Below are 27,365 nucleotides of genomic sequence, written 5' to 3'. Positions count from 1 at the left end.
GGGCAGCTTGGGGGCTGCTGAGATAGATAACATCTGGGCTTACCATTTCATTAGAAGGCCCTGCCTACAGATTTTAAGCTCCTTGAAACTGTGGACTGTATCTTCATCAACCGTCATTCCATGCCCTGGCCCAACCCAGGCCTCCCAGGTAATAGGTGCTCAGGTCATTTCCTTATTATGGTATAGGCCCTATGCCTGGAGAGGGCAAACTTCCCTGTAAAAGGTTGATAGGAACTAGCTTAGGCTCTGCCTGCCAGGCTATCTCTGCCACATCTATTCAGTTCTACTGTTGCTGCGTGACATTGGCTGTAGACGATATATTAACAAATAGCTGTGCCTGTGTTCCAATAAAACTTTATTTACACGAACAGATTGCAAATTGGTTTGACCCAAGGGCCATAGCTTGTCAACTCCTTCATATACTATGGGGGATAGAACAAGAGCAGGCTGTCTTAGGATCAAATCCTAGCTTCCGAGCTGTGTCACCTGATAAGCAAGTTCACCTCTTTGAGCCTTAGTTTCTCCGAGTGGAAAGTGGGGATGGTAATTGCTGCCTTCAGAATTACTGTAAGAGTTAAACGAGATAGTGATAAAGGGCATCTAGCAGAACCCTGGCCTGTAGATGTCACAGGGGCTGAAGAACTGCTAGTTTTCACTGAGTGTGAAAGCCAGATCCCACCTCACAACCCACCTTCATTTCCGCAGCCCTGTCCAGGGAATACCATGAAAGAGCATGAGGCAGGATTTTAAAGGCTGACAGAATGAAATGCATGAGATGTTGATTTGATTTCAATACAAGCACTGGGCAGAGACATAATGTCCCTGGTCTTCCTTATGCATAGCCTTCAGGTGTCAGTTCAGTAGTGTCCTGGTTTTATTACATCCATCACAAGCAGCTTAAAGCTTCCAAAAACACAGTCCTAGACAGATGTTGAGCCTGTCTGGGGATTAGAAATATCCTTTTCCATTAAGCATAAAGTAACTTAATCACCAGGTATGAAAGATAAGCAACATAAACAGCATTCCCTGAAGCTTTCATTAAAATTAAAATTCTACTTAAAATTTGCTTGTATTTTCTAAGACTTGAGCCCCTTCAAAGAGATAATATCAGCTGTAAATTTTCACACTGACAGAGTGGCAGAGAAGACTGTGCTGGGGACAGTGATGTACTATGTAATTTAACTTTGCCTCCTGGTCTTCTTTTTGCCAATGGACAGATCCGCACATTTTAAAGAAATAATTAGCGTCAGTAAGATTTGGACTTTGACCATTTTCAGAAGCAGTCAGATGAATTAAAAAAAAGACTCTAAGTCAAGATGACTAAGGGCAAGGTGCTTACAGTCTTGTCATCCAGATTAGTGCTGTGGAAAATGCTCTTATGATAAAACAAACAAAAAGGGAGTCATGGATAAGAAATCATCGGGAGACTTCTAAACCCAAAACTTCTTGCTTCCCCTTGTCTAGGGTGGAGCAGGGTGACTGGAGAAAGAGTACAGCAGCCAGAGTTCACTGCAGTCTTTACCAAACTTTGCAGGAGGAACTACCTTGAAGGCAATTCAGCAGAGTCACTGTGGGTTTGTGGAAAGATTGTTGAAATCAGATAAGCCTGGCTTTGAATCCTAGTGCTTTTTTTTTTTCTTGACTCTGATATTGGCCAAGTCTCTTAATTTCTCTAAATCTCATGTTCCTCATACGTAAAATGAGGAAAAGAATGCCTTTCCCAAGGATCTTTATGGGGCTTAGAGATCACACACTTAGAGACTGCCTCAAACTCATCACATTCTAAGTGCTTACTAAATTCTTGATATCATGTATGTGTTGAATATCTGCCCTGTGCCAGATTCTGGACTAGCCACTGAGGATCTAGAATGTCACAAAAGACAGCCTCCACTCTCAAGATGCTCCCAGATCCAATAGGGTATTGAGACAGACACAATTTAGGGGGTGACAAGTTCAACAGTGGATGTGTATATAAGGTATAGAAGGGACTCAGGCAAGGGAGTGGTGTCCTCTGTGCTAGGTTTTGGTGACACACGACGCCTGCATGGACTGTGGGGCAGAGAGGGGCATTCCGAGCAGAAGGGGGAGCTTATGTGAAGGGAGAGACACAGAGAGCATTTCATATCTGGGGGATCATAAGCAGCGTGGTATTGCTGGACGGGGGCGGGGGGGAAGGTAAGGGTGGAAGATCTCCTGATGTGCTTGTGCATCCTCGGGGACCCGGGTTTGAAGTGTTCTGGATGTTTCCTCAGGTTGACCACAGAGGCCTGGCAGGCACCACATGGCCTCCATACCAGAAGGCGTCTCTTCCAAAAGGAAATTCCACCGTTACCCTTAACAGAGCTGCAGATTTGAGTTGGATCTAGCAGTACAGTAGATGAGCGGCCCAGGCCCCTGGGTCATAGGCCCTGCTCTGTCTACCTGCCTAAAAATTCATGTAAGTTCCCTAAGAGCAGGAGCACTGTGTCCAATTCAGCTTGGAATGCCCAGGCCAGGGCTTCTTACATAGTAGAAGCTTGCAAATATTTGTTAATGCTCCAATGCCCTATCCATACAGTGGGGTGATCACCTGTATGCTGCTTCCCTCAAAGGGTTATTCTTTTTTTTAAAATTTTTTTTTATTATACTTTAAGTTCTGGGATACATGTGTAGAAGGTGCAGGTTTGTTACATAGGTATACATGTGCCATGGTGATTTGCTGCACCCATCAACCCATCATCTACATTAGGTATTTCTCCTAATGCTATTCCTCCCCTAGTTCCCCACCCCCACAACAGACCCCGGTGTGTGATGTTCCCCTCCGTGTCCATGTGTTCTCATTGTTCAACTCCCACCCGTGAGAACACGTGGTGTTTGGTTTTTTGTTCCTGTGTTAGTTTGCTGAGAATGATGGTTTCCAGCTTCATCCATGTCCCTGCAAAGGACATGAACTAATTCTTTTTTATGGCTTCATAGTATTCCATGGTATATATGTGCCACATTTTCTTTATCCAGTCTAACATTGATGGGCATTTGGGTTGGTTTCAAGTCTTTGCTATTGTGAATAGTGTTGCAATAAACATACATGTGCATATGTCTTTATAGTAGAATTACTTATAATCCTTAGGGTATATACCCAGTAATGGGATTGCTGGGTCAATTTTTTTTTTCTCCTGAGATGGAGTCTCACTCTGTTTCCCAGGCTGGAGTGCAGTGGCACAATCTTGGCTTACTGCAACCTCCACGTCCTGGGTTCAAGCGATTCTCCAGCCTCAGCCTCCAGAGTAGCTGGGATTACAGACGCCCGCCACCATGCCTGGCTAATTTTTTGTATTTTCAGTAGAGACAGAATTTTGCTGTGTTGGCCAGGCTGGTCTCGAACTCCTGACCTCAAGTGATCTGCCCACCTCAGCCTCCCAAAGGGCTGGCATGAGCCACTGCACCTGGCCACTTGTAGGGCTATTCTGAGAACCAGGGGGCATAACAGGGATGGAAGAACTTTATAAAGTCTCAGAGTTTATTCAAATATAGTATGTGACCATCATTATTATTGTTAAAAAGAGTCATATACCAATTAGAACCTTTACCAATGTTGAAAAACCAGTTTCCCCCACATTAAAAAAATCTCTATGACTATTCCTGGCTCTCTTATTTAACAAAACTCAGGATTTACACTTTAAAAATACAAACAAATGCAAACCACATAGTTAAATTTGGTTACTTGCCTTTTTGTTATTGCAAAGTTGACTTATTAGTCAAAACAATGATTATACTTGAGACAATCAAGGATTTCCAGGCTCTTTCCTATGTTATCTTAACAATGTTCATTTACAGGAAAGAATTTTTTTTGAAATTGCACTTGCCCAAAAAGCAAGTATTACCTAAAAAAGAGACATGTTTTCCTAAACATTTTCGATTGTCTTGACAGCTCGAATGTCACTTTCCCTACAAACCCACATCCCCTTTGTTTTAATGATGAATGTGTTCTAAAGAAAACCACTGCTGGAAAGGGCTAAAATTGGTGTTTGATTTCGCTGTAATGATGCATCACTGTTTTCCAAACTGTTACACTCAGCTGACGGAGGAAACTGTGAAGGAACTGGAAAGTTTCTAAAGCATTCACAAAATACGGGGACATTTTCTCTAGTAGCCAAATGTTAAAGAGCTGTTACGAAGAACAGTGTTTGAAATGAAGCCATGCTGCTCCCTGCAGAAAAGCAGCATACTTTGGCCCAAGTAATAACAAAATGATATCAGAAGTACCTCATGAGAGAAAGAGTGTAAGAGACTTACCAAGGTCATTCACAAAATCCAAATAGATGGGTCAAGGTCATTTGCAAAACCCAAAGAGATTAATTTTCCCCAGGACACCTATTGCTGCTCTTCTCCCTTGTGTCTGCAAAGCGAGGGAGACCACAGCTCTAGCTCTGGTTTTGCACTTGAACGCTGTATCGTGTGAGCAAATTAGTTATCCTCTTCTGGGCCTCAGTTTTCTTATCTTTATTTTGAAATTATAATTTCTGCCCTACATACCTTACATTATTGCCTTGAGGATCCAGCGAGGTTATGGGGGAAAATCGCATCTTAGACGCCATCCACATTGTTTAAGTTCCAAAATGGTGCCCTTTCCTTCCACACTCCCTTCTATCTTCCCTTGCAATTTCCTTTGCAGACATTCCTCCTTTCCCAGGCATTCCTCTCTTCTTACCTGCCACCCACTCAGCTCTACCCAAGTCTTTCACCTCTTGGCCCCAACACCATTGCCTCATGGAAGACTTAGAAACCTGCCCAGAATGCTCTGCGGGAGCTGAGTGCCCGGCCCTCACTTTAAGCTTGCCTTGCACTGAGTGAGCTGTCTGTGTGCATGATGCCTCCACCAGATATAACATCTTCCATGGATACATCTGCTTGTTCTGCTTTGTGTCTCTAGTTCCCAACACAATGCCTGGAATGTAGGTACTCATTTGCCATGGACCCTGGTGGACTGAACAAAGGAGGACGAATGTAGGAATAAAGACAAAAGCATATACTTGGAAAAAGGGGTCAGGTGGCTCCTTGCTTCTAGCGAACAAGGGCCCTGAGTTTCTAGAGCCCTTCTTATTTATTGAGTAAAGGAGATAGGGAGTAGGGGGTGGTTGTTGGTCAGCTGCTTGATTTAGTGCAGGCCTGCATGACTGCCTTCTTAGAACAGTAGACTCCAGATGTTCCAGTAGATAATCTCAAGGAGCACGGCGGCAGGGAGTGATTGCCCTCAGCATACCTTCTGGCGGCAGGTGCAGATGTGAGTTTGCCCACATCCTGCACTCATGATCAGCAGTTTGCTGTTTGATCATTTAGCCTCCAGTGGAATGCTGAGTTGGTCACAACCCTCAGGCTTTTGGCTCCCAACACTCAGATATGGTTGGAAGAATGAATGAATAAATGAAGGAATGGATCAATAAGTTGACCGTTATGGATTGGATGGCATAATGAATGAACATATGAACACATGAAGGGATGGATAAATAAGTTGACTAACTGTTATGGGTTGAATGGAAGAATGAATGAATGTATGAGCAAATGAAGGAATGGTTGACTAAGTTTACTAACTGTTATGGGTTGAATTGTGTCCCCTGACAAAGTCATATGTTGAAATCCTAACCCCAAGTAACTCAGAATATGACCTTATTTGGAGATAGGGTATTTACAGATGTAATCAAGTTAAAATGAAGCCAACAGAGTAGGCCCTAATTACCTTAGAAAGTCCTTACAAGGAGAGGAAATTTGGACACAGACACACAGAGAGAGAAGACAATGTGAAGACTCAGGGAGAAGACAGCCATCTACAAGCCAGGAAGAGAGGCCTGAAACAATAGCTCCTGGAAGACAAGCAGCACATCTGCATGTCTGTTCTCATAATAGATGCTCCAGTGACTTGAATCAACAACTGGATGGACAAACAAATGAAGAGATGAGTAGAGAAAACCACTGCTGAATCAAAAAATGACTTTATTAGTTACTTGAATATTTTATGAATTCCCAGCGCAGGGCTGTCAAAATGGGAGATGGTTTTCTGTTCGTTGCTCATGAAACACCAGCTCGTGGCAGGATCTTTCACAAAAGTATTCTTCTTGGTGACCAGGCTGGCAGCCTTCTAACCTGGAGACATGAAAGCCTGAATGAGCCATGTTATGATGCTGCCTTGGCCCCGGTCCTAACTGACTTACATGCTTTAGAAGAAGAGAGAACAAAAGGATCTGATGAAATGTCAGAACTGGGAGGAAACTGGGGTCATGTATTCCAGCCTGCTCATTTTACAGATGGGAAAACTGAGATTGTTCCAGGGGAATGGGATTCCCTCAGCCTTCCAGCAAGTTTGGAATGGATCTGGGACTGGAATCTGAGTCACCCAATGCTTCTTGCTCAGTCTTCTACCCACCAGAAGAAGGTGTCTTCCCCTTTTTCTTATGCATTCCACATTCTTTATGTTTGAATGCTAGACATCAGTGTCGAACCCACATAGCCTTCTTTGTTCACCTACTCCTTCTCTTCTTCTTTAGGAAATAGCTATAATCACCCCCATTTTACAGATGAGAATACTGAGCCCCAGAAAGGCTAAGTAACTTAGCAGGGCTACAAGATGAATGTCCAGCAGAACGAGGATTTTATCTTGGCCATGTCACTCCAAAACTTTTTAGCATGCAACACTTTTTCTTAATGAATCTTTATCCTTAAGCCTTAGCTATTCTTTCCCAATTATGTATAACATAGTTTTAAATATCCACTTGGTTGGATATAATACATTTTTCATGGCGAGCCACCACAGATATGACAGTCCCCCAAGAAATTTGTAGTAAGATTTAGTGGATTTCAAAGGCCTTACTTGCCCTTGGAAGGTTGCTACCAAATGGAAATGAGTGAGCAGATAATCTAGACATGGCAGATAGCAGGGTTGACACACAGTGATTGCCTGAAAGAATCTTAAATGATTTTTAGATAATGGACTTAAAGGTGGTGCTCTCTGATTAGTGGAAATCCAGACTCTATCTCTTATCCTATCTGGATTTGCATTGCTTATTTTCCTTCATCCACGGACAAGCTTTTTAATAGGATCATTGAAATCTCTATTTTTTTTTTTTTTTGAGACAGAGTTTTGCTCTTGTTTCCCAGGCTGGAGTGCAGTGGCATGATTTCAGCTCACTGCAACCTCCACCTCCAGGGTTCAAGCTATTCTCCTGCCTCAGCCTCCCAAGTAGCTGAGATTACAGGCATGCACCATCACACCCGGCTAATTTTTGTATTTTTAGTAGAGAAGGGGTTTCACCATGTTGGTCAGGCTGGTCTCGAACCCCTGACCTCAGGTGATCCTCCCACCCCAGCCTCCCAATTTGTGTCTCTAGTTCCCAGCACAATGCCTGGAATGTAGGTACTCAATTGCCACAGACCCTGGTGGACTGAACAAAGGAGGACGAACATGGGCATAAAGAAAAAGACAAAAGAGTATATTTGGAAAAAGGGGTCAGGAGGCTCCTTGCTTCTAGTGAACAAGGGCCCTGAGCTTCTAGAACCGTTCTTATTTATTGAGTAAAGTAAATAGGGAGTAGCGGGTGGTTGTCGGTCAGCTGTTTGAAATCTGGAAATACAGACATGAGCCACCGTGCCCGGCCAAAAACTCTATATTTTACTGTGGTGGTGGTCTCCAGGAACTTTAGGAAGGCAGATAGAGCTTTTTACTCCTCTCTGGACCCCATCACCTGGCACAATATCTGCTCCCTGGAAGGTATACCACAAATATCTATGAAATAGTCAATGTACTTTTCATTTTGGAACCACTGAAATTTTAGAAATAATACTCTCTTCTGATTATTGCTCATGTACACCCTCTGGGCTGGCATTGAACCTCCTTCCCCTTTCCCCTTTCCCTTTCCAACCTGCCCTACACATAGGATTCCCAGCAAGCCACAACCCACATGCTTACTAGCAGATTAAAAAAAAAAATCCTCCTCCTGTTTGTGTGTGCCTGTTTTGCACTGGTTTCTGTGCTAAGTCTAGGGAAACACACTAGGTTTCGCCTTCCAGGAGCACCCATCCTAATGGGAGACTTGAACAAATAACTGTGATGGGATAAAGACAAAGACAAGTGTTAAATGAGGCACTGGTGATGAGCAGGGCAGAGAAGGAAGAGTGATTGATTCTGCCTGGAGGGATCAGGGGAGGGTTCATGGAGAAGACAGATTTTTTTTTTTTTAAAAATTATTACATAAATGGATCTGAGCAGCTGACATCCCAAGTTCCCATGCTACTCAAGAAACTCAGAAATAGAGTTCACTGTTTCCAATTCTGGCTGTTTAGGCTGCTGACTCAGATTCAGATTCATAGCTTTGAGGAGAAGAGTCTAAAAAATAATTAGAGATACAAATCTTCATGACAATTTCCTGTTATTAGGAAAGTGATTGCAGGTCATTTGAAAATATTGCCTAATCTCATTACTTCCAGTTTCCCATACTCCTGTGTGAAATATTTTTAAGCCCATATTTGTGTTGAAATTAATAGAAAAAGTATCACCCTATTTTATTGTGATCTCAGTAGTTAACTTCATGGCAAACAAAAGATTATAGATGAAAAATCTTTGAATTGGTGACTATGAATTTATTCTTTAACAACTCACAAAGTCATAGACTAAAGCCAGATTGTATATCAAGGGCCTTAAAATGTTCACACTTGTTGACTTAGAAATTTCACTTCTAGGAATTTGCACCAAAGACATAATCCAAAATTATGAGAAAGATTTTTTTGCACAAATAGGTTCATCCAAGCAGTGACAAATTAGAAACAATGTAAATATGGGTTAGCTTGAGGGATTGTCATTCTGTCATTAAAGATGATGTCTATAGGTAAACTTGGTGATATGGCAAAAATGCTTATAATAAAATGTTAAATGGCTGGGTGCAGTGGCTCATGCCTGTAATCCTAGCACTTTGGGAGGCTGAGACAGGCAGATTGTCTGAGCTCAGGAGTTCAAGGCCAGCCTGGGCAACATGGTGAAACCTCGTCTCTACTAAAAATACAAAAAATTAGCCAGGCTTGATGATGTGTGCCTGTAATCCCAGCTACTCAGGAGGCTGAGGCATGAGAATAGCTTGAACCCTGGAGATGGAGGTTGCAGTGAGCCGAGTTCGTGCCATCTCACTCCAGCCTGGGTGACGAAGCAAGACTCTGTCTCAAAAAAAAAAAAAAAGTTAAATGTAAAATCAGGTTTTAAAATTGTATGTATAGTGTGACTTCAGCTATGTGAAAATATTATGTGCATCCAAGAGGAGTGGAAAGGGATTTATCAAAATACTAAAAGTGATAATTTCTGGATAGTGAGATTACATATGAGAGTTTTGTTCTCTTGCCTATATAGTTCTATATTTTTCATTTTCATGTCTTCTACAGAGAGATATAATATTACAATATTAGAACCAGTGATATTACAGAGAACCCCCGCAACTTGGATCACCACTAGTGAGCAATGTACAGCATAGGCCAGCACGTTCTGAGGGCCTGGGGAACAATCCAGAAAGTTAGCTGAGCTTTTCAAAGTGAAAGAACATGACAAAACAAACTTGGATTTGTTTGTGTCCATATCTGTGGGTCCAAAATGGCAAAAGGAGCATCGACGTCCATACATGAGTCAATACTGGCAACTAGACGCTGGTGGCCTCATGGTTTCATGAGCTCAGGTTATTCACGGCTGGACCCAGATAGCACGAAGGTTATCTGTGGGGACTAACACCTGTTGCCTTGGTAGAAAAAGGAAACAAGGGCATGGCAGGGGCCAGTCAAACGGGCAGGGATCCTGGTCAGGTTGTCTCCCTTGTGGAAAACAAGGTACCGACCAGGAACAAGGGCAGAAGCCCAGTTGGAAGAAATTGACCTGGCTCCATGAGGATGGGGTCGGTAGCTACTAGAGCCTGAGGTTTCTCTTATGTGTGAGGATTCCAGACTTAAATCAGAAGGAACACCACCAGGGCAAAGGCGATTGTTGGGCCTGGACTGGCTCAAGGCTCCAACAGGGCTGAATCCGCTGGTGTGGCTCCAGATGGGCCACACATTAAACATGTAGGAATGTATTGGGCTGGGCGTGGTGGCTCACGCCTGTAATCCCAGCACTTTTGGAGGCCGAGGCGGGCAGATCACGAGGTCAAGAGATTGACACCATACTGGCTAATACGGTGAAACCCTGTCTCTACTAAAAATACAAAAATTAGCTGGGCGTGGTGGTGCGTGCCTATAGTCCTAGCTACTCAGGAGGCTGAGGCAGGAGAATGGCTTGAACCCGGGAGGCGGAGGTTGCAGTGAGCCAAGATCGTGCCACTGCATGCCAGCCTGGCGATAGAGCGAGACTCCGTCTCAAAAAAAAAAAAAAAAGAATGTATCAAAGCCACACAGTTGCAGATGTCCCTTGGATGATCATTATGAAATGTGGAAATAGTTTTAGTTGTTAGTATTTTCTCCAAATGCTGTTCCCCCAAGAGAACTCTGTCATGAATATGGGAATTAACGCGGTTTATGTTTCATGGACAGGCTTAGCCCGGGCATGAAGCTGAGTTGGCTTGTATATTTAACCCACGTTGTATTTGGTATCCCTGAGCTGAGCTGGAAAACCCTGCAAACTCCCAGCTATAAAATAACAAGATAAATGTCACTCCATTCAAAGCACAGAAGAAAAGATACACCTCAATATTTTCTTTCAATACTTTACATTTACCTAATCCTTTTAATTGTACCATCCGATTTGCTTTTACTGACAGATTCACGAAGTATAGACGTGGCAGAACCAGAGAGGTTGGTGACTGCCTTATACCAGCCACTGGGCGCCTATGGGATATCTGTGTGTGTAAAATGAGTGTTTAAAACATTTTATAAAAAATAATGTGCATAAAAATAAATACATGTAATCTCATATTCATACGTTACATGTATATATTTATATAAAATCTCACCTAATCTTCACAACAACCTTACAAGGGAGGTATTACCTTCATTTTAAGGATAAGAAAACAGAAGATCTGAAGAGTTAAGTGAACTTGCCCAAGTCACACAGCATCTCAGTGACAGAGTTGGGATGTGAACCCAGTTTTGAGTTTAAAACAGGTGCTGCTTTTACCAGTGCCATCCAGCTTTGCCATACATATGATAGGTACTTTTCAGCCAAGCCCTGGGGACTGCCAAAGATTTAGCTAAGTGTTCTTCCCATGCCCTCAGAATTTCTGTGTTCTAAAAAACCCAAGAGCAAAAAGCAGTACGGCAGGATGGAAAGAGTGGGACTCGGGCTCCAATCCTGACTCTCCTATTTGTTGTGATGCTGGGCAAGCTCCTCTCTTTAATCTTTAGTTTTTCTGTCTGTAAAATAGGGAGCCTGTTGCATTGCAGGCGTGGTATGAGGATTAGAGGATCTATGTGAAATACAGTGCAGTTTCAGGTACATTGCAGGCCTCTGAGAGTTGGCCCATTGTGACTATTACCTTTGGACCGAGGCCATCAGAGAATGTGTCTGAACTTCTGGATAAGGAAATGTGGTTACAGTAGTCATAGGAAAGCCCCCAAGCAGCTGGGCTCATTTGAGATAAGAGTCCCAGGGGTAGATGATATAGTCTATAGTGTAGAACCTGCAGATATCCCCCATCTGATAACCTGTGACTCTGTGAGAGAGAGAAAATGCTTGCTGAATGTCAGAGCAGAAAAGGCTCTAGAGTTTCCCAACACGTGTTACAATGACGAACTAGAAGTCCACAGAGAATGGCATGGCTGACCATTCCTGTGGCCACTGACCATTCCTGTGGCCCTGGGTCTGCTGTTTAACTCCCATCTGCGTCAGAAAAGAAGCATCTGGACTCCACTAAAAACACATAAATGGAGGGCTTGCTGATGACTTACTCAAACTCAGTACAGGCACGAAAAAGGAGAGTGAGATAAACCCGTCAACATCCCATTAAGGACCTTTAAAAAAAAAAACAACTCGGTAGAAACTCCAGGCTAAACAGATCAAGCATAAACCCAGCTGCACACAATTAAAGACACACTAAGCCTAAAGTGGGACACAGGGAATTGAAACAGTCTGTGAGAAACATCTTTTTCTCCAAGGTTCCTAACTACTCTGGTTTAGCTAATGCTTAGAGGGAAATGCCTCGCACAGAACAATGGAAAAAGTAAGAACTCAGGAGTCAGGCAGACTTTTATTCAAAACCACCTCCATCATGGCACACCTGTGCACTCTGGTAACTTAAAAGGATGTTCTTAAAGAATAGTGAAGTCCAGGAAAATATGTTCATCATAGTTTGGGTGGAGGAAAAAGCTTTCAAAATAACAAATACGGAGGATCTATTTTATATAGATAAGGAAGGATAGGCACCAAAGTGTTCACTGGTTGCTTCTGGGCTGTAGGATGAGAAATGGTTTTTATTTTCATCTTGATTGCCCATGGTTTTATTTTTTCTTTATAGAGGATATATATTATTTTTATAAAGAGAGAAAAGCAATGAAAGTAATTTTTGTGTGATCACACAATAGATCTTCTGTGTCTAACAATATTACAGATTAGATATCTGAAGAAACTCCCCAGTACATGCTGGCTAAAAAATAAATAAATAAAAAATAAAAAATTTAATGTAGGAATGTGCTGGCAGGAAAGTACAAAAAAATTATCAGAAGCCAGAAGCAATGAGAAAACACAAAGTAATGAGGAAACACAGCTTCAGAGGGAGTGAACAGGTGTTGAAACTGGGGTTTCCGTGCAAGCATCTGACAATCCCTTGTGGCCTAGACCTTGGGGCCACATGGAGACAAGAAACAAAGTCTAGAGACCCAACAATGAGGGAAATTAGATTGGAAACTCCCACATAAAACCAGGACCACTGAAAGATCACATTCTCAGCGAGTGAACCAGGAAAAACCCATCCCGCAGGGCAATATAGGGATACTTACCAGTGTTGGCCTTGGTTCTCGGGGGAGGGAAAGACAGTGTCTTCTTTAAGAGCCATAAGCCCAATCTCACAAGAGTTTGGAGTTGGAATTCACATTATCTGTGTGACTTGAAAAACAGAATACTTATAATTTAGTTCAAAGCTGTTCTAAGTTGTTGGTGTTCCCAGACACATGACAGAAGCAAACACAGTTCTTCTCTGACAAAATGAACTTTAAGCCTGGAACACTAAGAATTCCTACCAATGAAGATCCAAAGGGTAGTCTTAGCCAGAGCAATCAGGCAAGAAAAAAAAGTAAAAGGCATCCAAATAGGCAAAGAAGAAGTCAAACTATTTCTCTCCACCGATGATGTGATTCTATACCTAGAAAACCCTAAAGACTCTGCTAAAAGGCTACTAAGAACTGATAAACAATTTTAGTAAAGTTTCAGGATACTAAATCAGTATACAAAAATCAGTAGTATTTTCTATACACCAATAATATCCTGGCTGAGAGTCAAATCAAGAGCACAATCCCATTTACAGTAGCCACAAAGAGGTTGAAATACCAGGCAGGGTGTGGTGGCTCACTCCTGTAATCCCAGCACTTTGGGAGGCTAAGGTGGGAGGATCTCTTGAGTCCAGGAGTTCAAGACCAGCCTGGGCAACATGGTGAGACCCCATCTCTATACACCTGTAGTCTCAGCTACTCAGGAGGCTGAGGCGGGAGGACCACTTGAGTCCAGGAGGTTGAGGCTGCAGTGAGCCGTGATAGTACCACTGCACTCCAGTCTGGGCAACAGAGTGAGACCCTATCTCAAAAATAAATAAGCAAATAAAAATAAAATAGGAACTCAGTGGGTTTAATGGCAGATTAGACTCACTTAAAAATAAATTAGAGACCTGATAAACAACTGAAAGATACATTTGAAGAAATTAGTCAGAATTTAGCACAAACAAATAATGAGATGGGAAACACAATGGAAGAATTTTAAGAATGTAGGATAGAATAAGAAGGTCATACATCCAATGGGAGTTCCAGAAGGAGATAATAGAAAGAAGGTAGAGAGTTGATATTCAAAGACGTTAAGGCTGAGAATTTTCCAATGAGAATAGAAACGAAAGACATCAATGATCTTTGACAGGAAGCCCACTGAATTTCAAGCAAAATAAAAAGAAATCCACGGGTAGATATACTGTGAAACTGCTAAATAACAAAGACAAAGAAAAGATCATAAAAGCTACCAGAGATACAAGGCAGATTATGTGCTAACACACAGTGGTAATTAAGACTGACAGCTGACTTCGCAACAGTAACAATGCAATTCACAAGTCAGTGAAATCTGTTTGAGTGCTCAGAGAAAATAACTGAAAACTTAGAATTATGTACTCTATGAACCTGTCTTTCAAGAGAAGAGGCAAAATAAAGACGCTTGAGAACTAGGAGCAACAGACCCTCACTAAAGGCAAGATGCTCTAGTTAAATGCTAAATTTAGGTCCAGAGGCCATTGGGACTATTAGGAGACACCCTTGTGTGATGTGGAGAGTGTAATAAACACAGGCATTAGAGAGGCTGTCCTGGTTTCAAATCTCACTTACTAGGCATAAGTACTTTTTGAGCCATTCTTGTCACTCATTGGCTACTGTTTCTTCCTCCATAAAGTGGGGGAAATAGTGTCTACTGCATAGGGTTATTGACAGAGTTAAATAAGATACAATGTAAAACTCCTAAGAGACATTTGGAAGGGTAATTTTTAAATTTAGTCATTCAACATGTGTTTACCAAGCATGTGATATGCACGTGGCACTGTCTTTAGTCACTGGGAATGTAGCAGAGAATGAAACAGACAAAAACCCAAATGTCATGGAGCTTACGTTCTAGTGGTGGTGGGATAGAAGAAGGGAGAAAATGGAGGAAAAAATTAATTAAAATATAGGGTGGGCCTGGCAAGGTATCTCATGCTTGTAATCTCAGCACTTTGGGAGACTGAGGCAGGAGGATTGCTTGAGGCCAGGAGTTCAAGACCAGCCTGGGCAACATAGCAAGACCCTGTCTCTACAAAAAATAAAAATAAATTAGCTGGGCATGGTGGTGCACCTGTAGTCCCAACCACTTGGGAGGCTGAGGCAGGAGGATCTTTTGAGCCCAGGCATTCAAGGCCGCAGTGAGCTTTAATTGTGCCACTGCACTCCAGCTTGGGTGAAAGACTGAGACTCTGTCTCTAAATGTGTGTGTGTGTGTATATATATATATATATATATATATGTATATATATATACACACACACATACACACACACACAGAGTGAATTAATAGGTGATAAGTATTAAGACAGAAAAAATAAAGCAGAGAAGTGCATAAAGAGTGTTTAGGGCAGGGCTTATTGAGAAGGCGGTGTTGAGTAAACACGCAGAGGATAGAGGGAGCAAGCTGAGGGAGGAAGAGCTCTCCAGGCAGGGCAGCCATCAAGTGCAGAGGCCTTGAGACGGAGTTGTGCCTGGCAAGTTCAAGGAGCTGCAAGGTGGCCAGCAGAGCTGGAGCAGAGGGGCCCAGGGAGGAGGTGATGTAAGCAGCTCATTGACACAGCATGGCCCCTGACAGGGGCTCAGGTCTGATGAGCACAGGGGCTGATGGAGCAGGAGAGGGCCCCTCTGCAATGCCAAGATTTCCCGAGTTATCAGGAGCCAGGCAAAGAAGAAGGGCACCCAGCAACAGAAGCAGGCATGAGGACAAGGAGAGGGTGCTTATGGCTCCTTCCCTGCCCAGCAGCTGGCCAGACATGCATCTCACCACATTCCTCAGCTGCACACGTGGATGTGTTGCGTGAAGTCTAAACCATGTATGTGGCTGTAGTCTTAGCCACTCAGGAGGCTGAGGCAAGAGGATCGCTTGATCCCAGAGGTTTGAGGCTGCAGTGAGTGGTGATCATGCTGCTGCACTGATGGAGATGGCCAGAATGACCTGCTCCCATTAAGTGCCATGCCCAGGGAGCCCACCGTGCCTGGCCCATCGGTGGACACACGGCCATCAAGCACTTGACCTTGGGTTGCTCTGTGGTGGGAGCGTTAGGACCCTGCATTGCCAGAGCCCCCACACTGGCAGCCATTTTGCCTTCCAGGCCTGGCCCTGCCCCACCCTCTCAGGCCTGTCATTCCCTTGGGCCTATGGTTTCCTGTCCTGGCTCCCTGTTCCACTTCAGCCACCTCTGCTATCCCTATTGCAGCCAGTGGGGTTACCCCATCTGCCTGAAGCCCCCACATCCCCTTTTCAGGGCCAAAGAGGCAGCAGCAGTGCCTCCTGGCCCCTCACTTGAGAACAGGGCTCCCCAGCCTCCTTTTTCCCAAGCACCGTCTCTCCCTTTCTAGCGTCCCAGCTTTTCTCTCTGTGGGGGTGGGGGTGGTGACAGCAGGTTTTAAGAATGGAAGAATGGAGCCGGACATGGTGGCTCATGCCTGTAATCCCAGCACTTTGGCAGGCTGAGGCAGGTCACTTGAGGTCAGGAGCTCAAGACCAGCCTGGCCAACATGGTGAAACCCTGTCTCTACTTAAACAAACAAACAAGCCAGGTGTGGTGGCAGGTGCCTGTAGTCCCAGCTACTCGGGAGGCTGAGGCATGAGAGTTGCTTGAACCAAGGAGGCAGAGATTGCAGTGAGCTGAGATTGCATCACTGCACTCCAGCCTGGGTGACAGAGCTAGGCTCCATCTCAAAAAAAAAAAAAGAATAGAAGAAAGAGAGGGAAGGGAAGGAGAGGAGAAAAGAGAAGGGAGAAAGGGAGAAGAAGGAAAAACATCCATTTGATGGGGAGAAATGCAGTGAAATGAGGGAAAACACAGCAGCAGAGGCTGTGCCCGGTACAGTCAGGACCAAGGGGAAACTGAGTACCCAGGGATGCATCAGAATGGAGACATGGGCAGAGAAAGCTTCCCTGAGGAGGTGGCCTTTAAGGGCTCTCCTGCAATTGAGAACACCCTCCCGGGGCAGTTGGAGACTTCGCGCGCGCGTGTGTGTGTGTGTGTGTGTGTGCCTGGAGGGAAATGCCTGGGAAGGTGGGCTTGTGGGATGCGGGGTAGCCAAGAGTCGACATTCAGCAGGGACTTGCAGAGTGGGCTGGAATCCTGGTGAGAAGGGAAAATTAGATCAATCTGGAGTCATCGCAGAGATGATGGCCGGAGCACTGATGAGGCTGAGTATCTGGAGAGAAGAGAGAGAAAAATGAGCCGAAGCCAGGGCCTGAAGAATGACCGCAGCCCCCAGAAGAGGCAACAACGAAGAGCGGCTCAGGCTGCTCAGGTTTGAGCCTCAGTTCTACCGCGTGCTAGCTGTGTGATCTCGAGTGAGGTGCTTAACCTCTCTGGGCCTGTGTCCTGCCTGGCAGGCTTGTTATGAGGTCTAAAAGCACCCAGTGGATATCCGCTGTGGAAAACCAGTATGGTTTTATTTTTTCATAACTGGAAAAAAACTACTGCAAGCACATAGCCTCTGTGTGGGGGTGAGCCATGCCTTCTCTCACAAAGGTCCCCCTTTTGATCTTTTCCTGTGTGTGCATGGCTGGCTGGCTGACATTCTTAGTCATTCAGGTTTCCTTAATAAGTCTATTGACTGCTAGACTGTTAGGTCAAACGCAAATTAATGTGGCCTGAATCAAATTTGTGGAATAGGTGATTGGTTGACACTGACTTTGCAGAGCCAGTTTGGGAAGCGGTCATAAGGAAAAGACCTACAGCTGACTCGAGGCGTGGTCTGTAGTGCGCGGCTGGTTCGTGCCTCGGATCCCTGTACGCGTTTTTCTTTTGGCGTGGGATGGCCATGACACCCACAAACAGATCCCCATTCCCAGGCTAGCCGCAGCATCGTTTCCGAAATGATCTCGGCTGGAACAGCCTGTTCCTCTTGCGGCGGGTGAAGGAGGTGCTTCCTCCCGCCTCAGGGCCAGGGTCTGCGTAGTCATCCCTGCCGCCCCGCCGCCAGGACCCCGCACTGAAGTTCAGGCACCTGCAGATGGCCTCCTGCACGCCCATCTATGCAACCTCGGACCCAGAAGTGTGAGTCCTGACTTATGTCCCGACCCGGGAGAAGTGTGAGTTCCGAATCATGTCCCGATTTCCAGGAGAAAGAGGGCCTTGGAGTCGAGACATGAGAGGGAAGAGGTAGGAGAGAAAGTGACACCGAAGAGGTTGGGCACCAAGACTGTGTGTGAGATGGGAGAGCTGAGGGCAGCAGCTGGGGCTGTGGAACTGACCTCCAGGAGTGTTAAGAGGAAGATGACTAAAAGTGAAGGGCTGAGGGGTGGGTTCCTGGCCCACAGTTGGGAACTCTAGGCTAAAGCCACCTAGCCCCGGAAAGGGGAGCCCGTGTTGGGCGCCGTAAGAAATGTGTCTATTCTTTCTAGATTAATCTGCTGCGCTGGACCAAGGTGGAACCATTCCCAGCATTCCGTGTCTTGGGTGGGAGCCAGAGGCAGAATTTAACGGCTCCTGCTTACTCAGTTAGAGATAACAGAACCTGTAGATGGCGGAGCACACACACTCAAAAACACACACAAACACACACAACCAAACGGGCACACACAGATACAATGACACACAGCCACACAAATGTACACAACCACACATTCATACACACACACAACCACACATACACACTCACACAAAACACCCACCACAGACACACACCCACACCCACACACCCACACCCACACAAACACACCCACACAGACACACCCACACATCCACACAAAGGGACACACACAGATACAATGACACACAGTCACACAAACCCACACAACACATTCATACACACAACCACACATACACACATACACAAACACACAAAACACCCGCACATCCACAGACACACACACACCCACACACTAACACAAAACAATAACACACAACCACACGGACGCACACAGATACAATCACACACAGTCACACAAACCCACACAATCACACATTCACACAGACACACATAAACACACACAACCACACATACACACACACTCATAAGCACACATGACCACATGTTCACACAGACACACATACACAACCACACACAGTCACACAAACACACAACCACACAGACACACACATATGTACAACGAAACACACAGTCACAGTCACAGTCATACAAACACAAAACTACACACAACCACACACACTAACACTCATACAACCACACATTTACACAACCACACAAACGTGCACAGACACACACGCAGCGCACACTCATGCACACACAGTCACACAAACACACAATCATACAACCGCACATCACACAATACACACACACGCACACAGCCACACAAACACAACTCTGTGCACACACTCACATACACAAACACAGCTACACAAACACACACAAACATAGCTCACACAGACACACACACACAAATGAGGTTCATTGTGAACATTATCTGCAGCAAAGCAAAACGTTCCAGACATCTTTTCAAGATGAAAGAGAGAAGGATTCTGAAAACTCTGTAGGGAGTGAAGTGTGGAAGCTCATTGTTACTACATTTAAGACATGTAAGATAAAGATATATCTTTATTTAGTCCCCTGTCTTTATCTTTTCATTTAAACGAGCATAGGACGTGGCTAAAAAGGCTTTAATCAGTTTATTCCTGTCGTTGGTCCCACCTCCCCTGACCCCCGCTGACTTTTCTTCTCAACCATGAATTCTCCCATCTTAACGTTTTTAGGGATTGGACCTTGAGGGTCCAATTTTTTAACCCTTTTTTAAAAAAATTATACTTTAAGTTCTGGGATACACGTGCAGAAGGTGCAGGTTTGTTACATAGGTATACAATGTGCCATGGTGGTTTGCTGCACCCATCAACCTGTCATCTACATTAGGTATTTCTCCTAATGCTATCCCTCCCCTAGTCCCCACCCCCCGACAGGCCCTGGTGTGTGATGTTCCCCTCCTTGTGTCCATGTGTTCTCATTGTTTCAACTCCCACTTATGAGTGAGAACTTGTGGTGTTTGATTTTCTGTTCCTGTGTTAGTTTGCTGAGAATGATGGTTTCCAGCTTCATCCATGTCTCTGCAAAGGACATGAACTCTTCCCTTTTTTATGGCTGCATAGTATTCCATGGTGTATATGTGCAACATTTTCTTTATCCAGTCTATCATTGATGGGAATTTGGGTTGGTTCCAAGTCTTTGCTATTGTGACTAGTGCTGCAATAAACATATGTGGTGTGCATGTGTCTTTATAGTAGAATGATTTATAATCCTTCGGGTATATACCCAGTAATGGGATTGCTGGATCAAATGGCATTTCTGGTTCCAGATCCCTGAGGAATTGCCACACTTTCTTCCACAATGGTTGAACTAATTTACACTCCCACCAACAGTGTAAAAGCGTTTCTATTTCTCCAGAAAGGTTTCTGTGTCTCCATCTCAGCACTTCCTACATCCTGGTATAAGTCTCTTCTTTTAGGGGTCTCCTGCACCAGGCTGTAGGCTCCTTGCAGGCAGGGACACTGTCTCATTTATTTTATAGACCCCGTGCCCAGTGCTTGGCATATAGGAGAGAGATGTCACATGTTTATCTGCTTGGTACCAACATGAAGACACTTAGTACCCATGGCTTTGCTCAAACATTTGGTGAAACGTGGAATCCAGGTGCTCATTACTTCCTCCCCACAGGTGTGGCTCGTGGTGGCCCAGCCCCTTAGAGCTTTGGAGGCCATCCTGCAGCTGCTCTTCAGATGATACTTACATTTTTCTCATGCAAAACAGCTTGCAAAGAATAGTTCATTGTGCTTTCTGATTTCAGCTTTCCAGATATCTGTATGCACAGAAAACAGATTCCCTCCAGTTTCTGACAGAATGTCTCCATCTAAGCTTAAGCTTTCAAAGCTTTCCATCCTTGGGTACTGCCCATTGAGTAGACGTAAGTGGGATAATCTTTGTCTCCCTTACCTACAGCTCTCTGTGGGGTGTGGTCCAGCAGATACAGGCAGAGGAATGGGATAGCAGACGTAGAGGTAATTAAACTATCCCCAGTTCTTCCTTGTTAAGTGGGAAGGAACATCGCAGAGTGGGGAAAGGACATGTTTTGATAACAGAAAGACTTGATATGAGTCCCTCTCCCGCCATAGACCTGCTGTGGGACACTGGGCAAATTATTCATCTTCTCTGAGCCTCAGGTTTCTCATCTGTAAAATGGGGATAATAGTACCTAACTCAGAGGATTGTTGTAGAAGTTAGAGGTAATTTTTTGTAAAATCATGGTCACAACTATGTTAAATCTCACATGGCCCCCCTCACACACACACACACACACATATGCATGCATGGAGAAGGCTAGAGAGACAGACAGAGAAGAAATTCTGGAAATAAAACACCAACATGTTAACAATGGTCGTAGGTACGTAATGGAATAAACTGTGATTTTTTTCCCTCTTTGTCTGCTTTTTGGTATATTTAACTATTTTTTTTACATGAACATATATTGACTTTATAATTAGGAAAATAGGAAATAAACTTAAAGGCATAAAATAGGAAAAAGAAATAATATGCATTAAGTATCAGGCATAAGTTGGCACTCGGTAAATGGTAGCTATTTTTACTAATTAGTTATTATGCCTAATAATAATACTTAGAACTAATGATTTCCTCTGGGACCATAGGTTGTGAATTAGTCTGTAGGTGGTGGTTGATGACTCAGAGCTCCCTTCCCAGTGAGGGGGAGTTCTGGGCTCACTTCCAACTGGGGCCCCCTTCACGGCCTTCCTGATCCTTCTGCAACCCCCTGACTGCCAGACCTGACACTGCTCCCACAGCGGCCTCCTTCCCCACTCAAAACAGTCCAGCAACAGTACTGCCAGTGGCCACGACAAAGGGGACCTCACTTCTGGGCAGGCAGAGGTATTTTCCAGGGAGGAGCTTCTCTTCCATGGAGAATGTGGCGGGACATTGCCATCCCTCTGTGGATGGCAGGTCATTCATTCAGGGGGACAGTAAGAGTAAAATTTCTTCTGTTTGGGTTGCAGAAAAGGTTCTTGATATGGTTTGGCTCTGTGTCCCCACCCAAATCTCATCTTGAATTGTAGCTCCCATAATTCCCACGTGTTGTGGGAGAGACCCGGTGGGAGATAATTGAATAATGGAGGCGGTTTCCCCCATACAGTTCTTGTGGTAGTGAATAAGTTTCACGAAATCTGATGGTTTTATAAGGGGAAACCCCTTTCATTTGACTCTCATTCTCTCTTGCCACCACTTAAGAAGTGCCTTTTGCCTTCCGCCATGATTGTGAGCACCCCCCCATGTGGAATTGTGAGTCCATTAAACCTATTTTTCCTCTCAGTCTTAGGTATGCCTTTATCAGAAGCATGCAAATGGACTAACACAGTTTCCCAGTAAGAGTTTCCAATGTCTAAAATGAACTTGATGCTGCTGATTGGAAGATTATATATATATATGTATATATGTATATATGTATATATATGTGTGTGTATATATATATCTGTGTATATATGTATATGTATGTGTGTATATATATAAAGGTAGAAGGAGACTTTTTAACTTTCATAATTGATAGATATTATCATCACTACATATATAGTTTATATATTTTTTATATTTTTTAATATATATTTATATATAAAACCTATATATAGGTTTTATATTATAGTGATATTATCTCATATATATGAGATATATAAGATATATATATCTCATATATATGTGTATATATATTATCATCATATATATACACACACGTATATATATGATGATAATGGTGAGGATTTAGCCCAGGTGAGAATTTTAGACTAAACCCTCAAATCCTTTAGGGTCCAACAGGTTCAACCAGAGAGAATTGAAATTGTGCATAAAGGAAAGAGAAGGTGAAACTCCTATCTGGCTGAGTGACTATGAGCAAGTTAGACAACCTCTCTGAGCCTGTATCCTCAGGTGTAAAATGAGGGATCAGCACAGTTGGTCCTTGAAATCCCTGGAAGTTCTCAGTTCCGTGACACGATGATTATAGATACAGTCAGTTCTGAGAAGAAAGTGAACTTGGACGTTTTCTATGCTCAGTGAGCATGCTGCCAAAATGTGATGGATAAGACAGGAAAGGACAGGGATTTTTTCTGGGGCCAACACTTACCGGCTGGCCCCAGAGATGACAAATTATGGAAGGACTTCAGCTGGTGGCTTCTAAACAAAGGCAGCAGATCTTCCTAAATCGTTGTGATCCCGCTGTTGCATCAAAGGCTAGCACTGAACTGCTAGGTGTTAAATGCCTGCCCTGTGCCAGGCACGGTGGCAGATGTTGTACATATCGTATGTGATCTCTGATCCTCGGGCAACCCTGCAGGAGTGGCATCGCCATTGTTTCAGGTTGAAGCAGTGGAGACTCTCAAGGTTGCTCGTGTTTTTCAGTAGATACTTTCTGTGCAGCTATGATGTGCTCAGTGAACAGCGCTTAGAATCCCAGTGTGAGCAAGGTCTTCCTGCCCTGGTGGAGCTGGCAGTTTAGAACAGCTAGAGATGGGTTCAAGGACGATTGTAATATAGCGTGAAAAGGGCTTCAAAAGGGGTTAAAAACAGGGTGTCATGGGAGCCTAGTGAAGGGGGCCCCACAAACCAGCAGAAGGGTGGGGCAAGGTGGAAGGAATGAAGTTCCAGGCAGAGGCCAGTTTCATGCAAAGGCTTAGGGTCTTTGTCTATCAGACAGCAGGAGGGCTTAGTGGGCAGGGCAATGTGGCTGGAGCTTAAATAGGACTGTGGTCTGAGATGGGGCCAGAGAGGGACCCAAAGTCAAGGGCTTGACCAGGCCAGAGAGTTTAGACTTCACTCTGCAGGCAGAGAAGAGCCAGTCATTCATGCATTCATGCACCCATTCATGCATTCATGCACCTAGCCAGTGTTTATTGAGCACTTACTCTGCACCAGGATGGAGGAGTCAGCAGTGCACAAAACTGTCAACAATACCTGCCTTTGTGAACTGCCATTATTGATGGGAGGTGGAGGATGAGAGGACAGGAGATGGAAAATAAACAAAATAAATGAGTAAAATCTATACTGTGATGAGTGGTGATGAGCGCTATGGAGAAAATGAAGCAGGGAGAGCTCTGGAGGGCTGGGAAGATTGTGGGCTGCACTTGTAAGCAGAGTGCTTGGGGGAGGCCTGCCTGAGAAGGGCACACTTGGACACACACTTGAAGGAAATGAGGGAGTGAGCCAGGGACAGGCTTGGGGATTTTGGCTATGACATGAAGGACACATTGGAAGCGGAGGTTGCGAGCCAGGAAACTGGTGAAGAGGCTGTTGAAGTTCAGGTGACCCATGATGAGCTGACAAGTGATGGCAGAGATGTGTGTGAACTGCAGTGACAGGAGGGATAGGACTTGGCTGGCTTGATGCTTGTGAGGGGAGAGGGAGAATGAATCTCTTCTCTCTGGTTTCTGGCCCAGACACTGGATGGATGGGGAATCCCTCCTCTGAGTCAGGAACAAAGCTGGAGGCTCAGAATTGGGGTAGAAAAATGACTAACTGAAAAGTAACTTGCCCTGTTCACCTTGTTTATAGCAGCATTATTTACAATGTCCATGAATGAATGAATGAATGAATAAACAGACTCAGCCTTTAAAAGGAAGGATATTCTGAAACATGCTACAGCATAGATGAACCCTTAGGACATTATGCTAAGTGAAATAAGCCAGATACACAGGACAAACACTATATGATTCCACTTTCCTCCCCAGCCTCACCTCCCCCCCCGCCCCGCCCAAGATGGAGTCTTGCTCTGTTGCCCAGGCTGGAGTATAGTGGTGCGATCTTGGCTCACTGCAACCTCCGCCTCCTGATTTCAAGTGATTCTCCTGCCTCAGCCGCCAGAGTAGCTGGAATTACAGGCAAACGCCCGCATGCCCTGCTGATTTTTGTATTTTTAGTAGAGACGGGGTTTCACCATGTTGGCCAGGCTGGTCTCAAACTCCTGACCTCGTGATCCACCCATCTCGGCCTCCCAAAGTGCTGGGATTACAGGCGTGAGCCACTGCGCCCAGCCATGATTCCACTTGTGTGAGGCACCTAGAGTAGTCAAATTCATAGAGTCAGAAAGTAGAGTGGTGGTTGCTGGGGGTGATGTGGGGGAGTCGAGAGTTATTGTTTGATAGGGACAGAGTTTCAGTGGAGAACTATGAGAAAAGTTCTGGAGATGGAAGGTGATGATGGCTGCACAGCAATGAATGTACATCATGCTGCTGAATTACACACTTAAAATAGTTAAAATGGTAAATTGTATGTTATATATATTTTTCCAAAAATTAAAAAAGTATTCCAAGTAATTTGCCCAAAATCACATAGCGAGCAAATCCAGCCCAACTCCAGAGCTCCTCGTGCACCTCCAGCCTCTTATTCTGAGCTCTCTCTGTCTCTCACTATTCCCTCCCTGTCTTCTAGGCTGGCTTTGATTACTTGGTAAAATTACTTCACTTCTCTGGGCCTATTTTTCCCCGTCTGTAAAGTAGAGATACCTCATAGGGTTGTTGTGAGAATTAAATGAATCCATGCACCTAACATGCCTGCCACAGAGTAAACTCACGATGTATTAGATATTATTGCTATTCTAATGTCAGAACAACCCAATCCAGGTAAAACAGCACAGACCTGGACTAAAATCCATGCTCTAGCATTTGGGAGCTATGTGTCCTTGGGCAAAGCACTGAACTGGCTTAAGCCTCAGTTTCTACCTATTATCAAGCGCTATCTGGGCTGATAGTTCCTGCCTGGCAGGGCTGAGAGCAGGACTAAATTGGACCTGTGTCCAAGGCCCCCAGTCCAGTGCCTGCATGTCAGCCACAACCTCCAGTCCATAGCGGCTGTTACTGTGTGGACACAGGATCACAGTTATGCAAGGAAAAATTCACATAGTGACCTAACATCTTTTTCTACTTCCATGCCATTTTATAGGCAGAAATAGCACCCCCCTGCTCGTAGTTGAGGTATTTGAAGATCCTGAAGCCATATCTTTGTGCAGGCTTCAGTAATGTGTCTGTGTCTAATTTATTCGTTTTACAAAGGGGACTGATTCAGCCAAGTCTAAGTAACATTGACTGATTCCCTGCTCCGGGCCTGGCCCCATGCTGTTGCTGGAGAGTCAGAAATGAGTCAGACACAGCCCCTGTCTACAAAGAGCTGAACTGGCCCAAAGAAGAGCCAAGGACGTTGTCACAGCAAACTGCACTAGGAGTGCAGAAACCCGGGTTCTTTCCTGAGCCCTAAAACCTAAGTGCTGGGAAACCTTGAACAAGCCACACCTCCCATCTCCAGAACTTGTCTACAGGCAGAATGAGGACCTTGAACTTGCTGGTCTCTATGACTTGAAGCTATTTCCTCTTCAGATGTGTTGACTCCTTTGCCCAGTGCTCTCTGGGAGCAGTCTGCAGGGCACAGGATAATTAGGGGAGGTTATACCAGAGCCACTGCCTTCTGAGCTATAAAGACTTGGCCTTGGGACCTTCTCAGTCAGCCAGGATGGGCTTAACCCTATGGCATCCTGGGATCCCAGCAGCAGTCTGGTGAGGAAGGGGAGGGGGATAGAGCCAGGAACTGGAGAGGGGACCTGGGCCAAGGCTGCAGGCCAGTGTCCCACCCGGGTGAGCAAAGAGGGTTTAAGAGTGGAGGTTCCAATAGCCAGGGCAGCTTCAGGCTAACTGGGCTCCCGGGGCCAGGAAGCTGACTCACTCCAGACCCCCACTGGGTGTTGGGGTTGCCTGGGGGCCCCCAGGCAGTTCAGGCCTGACTTCCAAGCAGCACACCAGACACCAGATGTATTCCAGACTTGATCTGTGTGCCGAGGGAAGGAGCTCACATCCCACTCCTCCCCTGGGAGAAAGGACGGGGGACAGCTTGCTGCGGGGGAGGCACTTTCTTCATGGGGGATCTTGAAGCATTTGCTTCATTGGCCCAAGTTTCCCCTCGCCTGTGGGAAAGTGTCCCAGCTCTCCTCGCTGTGGTCGGCCTTCTGGCCGTCTCTCTATCCCATGCCAAGGCATAGTCTGCTCATCTCACACGGGACACCGAGCTAGTGCTTTCTTATTTCAGGCCAGAATTGAGTTGAAGCCGGCAGAGCTGAGCTGAGATCCTGGGATCATTGGTATGTGCACTGGCATCGCGATTCCTAGTCAAATTCTTGGTAGCCAACCCAAGTCGATTAACGTGGGGAAGAGAAATTGCAGGTTATCATTCAACCACCATTGCCATCCATATGCATGAAGCCTGGGGACCTGACTCCCTTGCAGAATGAAGCATAACCTTTAGAGGGACCAATTTCAGAGAAATCGCCACCGCTACCTCCACCCACTCTCACCGCCTCCCTGCAAGCCAGAATGAGTGTTGCTTTTAGCTCTGTGGCAGCAAAGGAAGCTGCTTGGGCTGCCCACATGCCATATATGTTCTCAAAGAGTTTGATGGGCTTCTGCCACTTAAGAAATTGGTCA

At 44.9% G+C, this 27,365-nt stretch overlaps 1 protein-coding gene across 8 annotated transcripts in view, besides 2 other annotated features; it reads left to right on the top strand.

The window, feature by feature from the left end:
- Nucleotides 1–27,365, top strand: part of TTLL11 (tubulin tyrosine ligase like 11) — a 277,635-nt gene that overhangs the window by 178,758 nt on the left and 71,512 nt on the right. The gene's annotated exons all lie outside the window — the stretch shown is intronic.
- Nucleotides 16,914–17,603: an enhancer, noted in NCBI's record as "H3K4me1 hESC enhancer chr9:124659227-124659916 (GRCh37/hg19 assembly coordinates)". NCBI's record gives its function as "activates a minimal SCP1, AML or CMV promoter by ChIP-STARR-seq in primed H9 embryonic stem cells {active_cell/tissue: H9 hESC(primed)}" and the evidence as "EXISTENCE:reporter gene assay evidence [ECO:0000049][PMID:30033119]".
- Nucleotides 26,041–26,599: an enhancer, noted in NCBI's record as "H3K4me1 hESC enhancer chr9:124650231-124650789 (GRCh37/hg19 assembly coordinates)". NCBI's record gives its function as "activates a minimal SCP1, AML or CMV promoter by ChIP-STARR-seq in naive H9 embryonic stem cells {active_cell/tissue: H9 hESC(naive)}" and the evidence as "EXISTENCE:reporter gene assay evidence [ECO:0000049][PMID:30033119]".

Source organism: Homo sapiens, chromosome 9 (genome assembly GCF_000001405.40).
Source record: "Homo sapiens chromosome 9, GRCh38.p14 Primary Assembly".
Classification (NCBI taxonomy): domain Eukaryota; kingdom Metazoa; phylum Chordata; class Mammalia; order Primates; family Hominidae; genus Homo; species Homo sapiens.
This window is presented reverse-complemented; position numbering and strand designations above follow the sequence as displayed.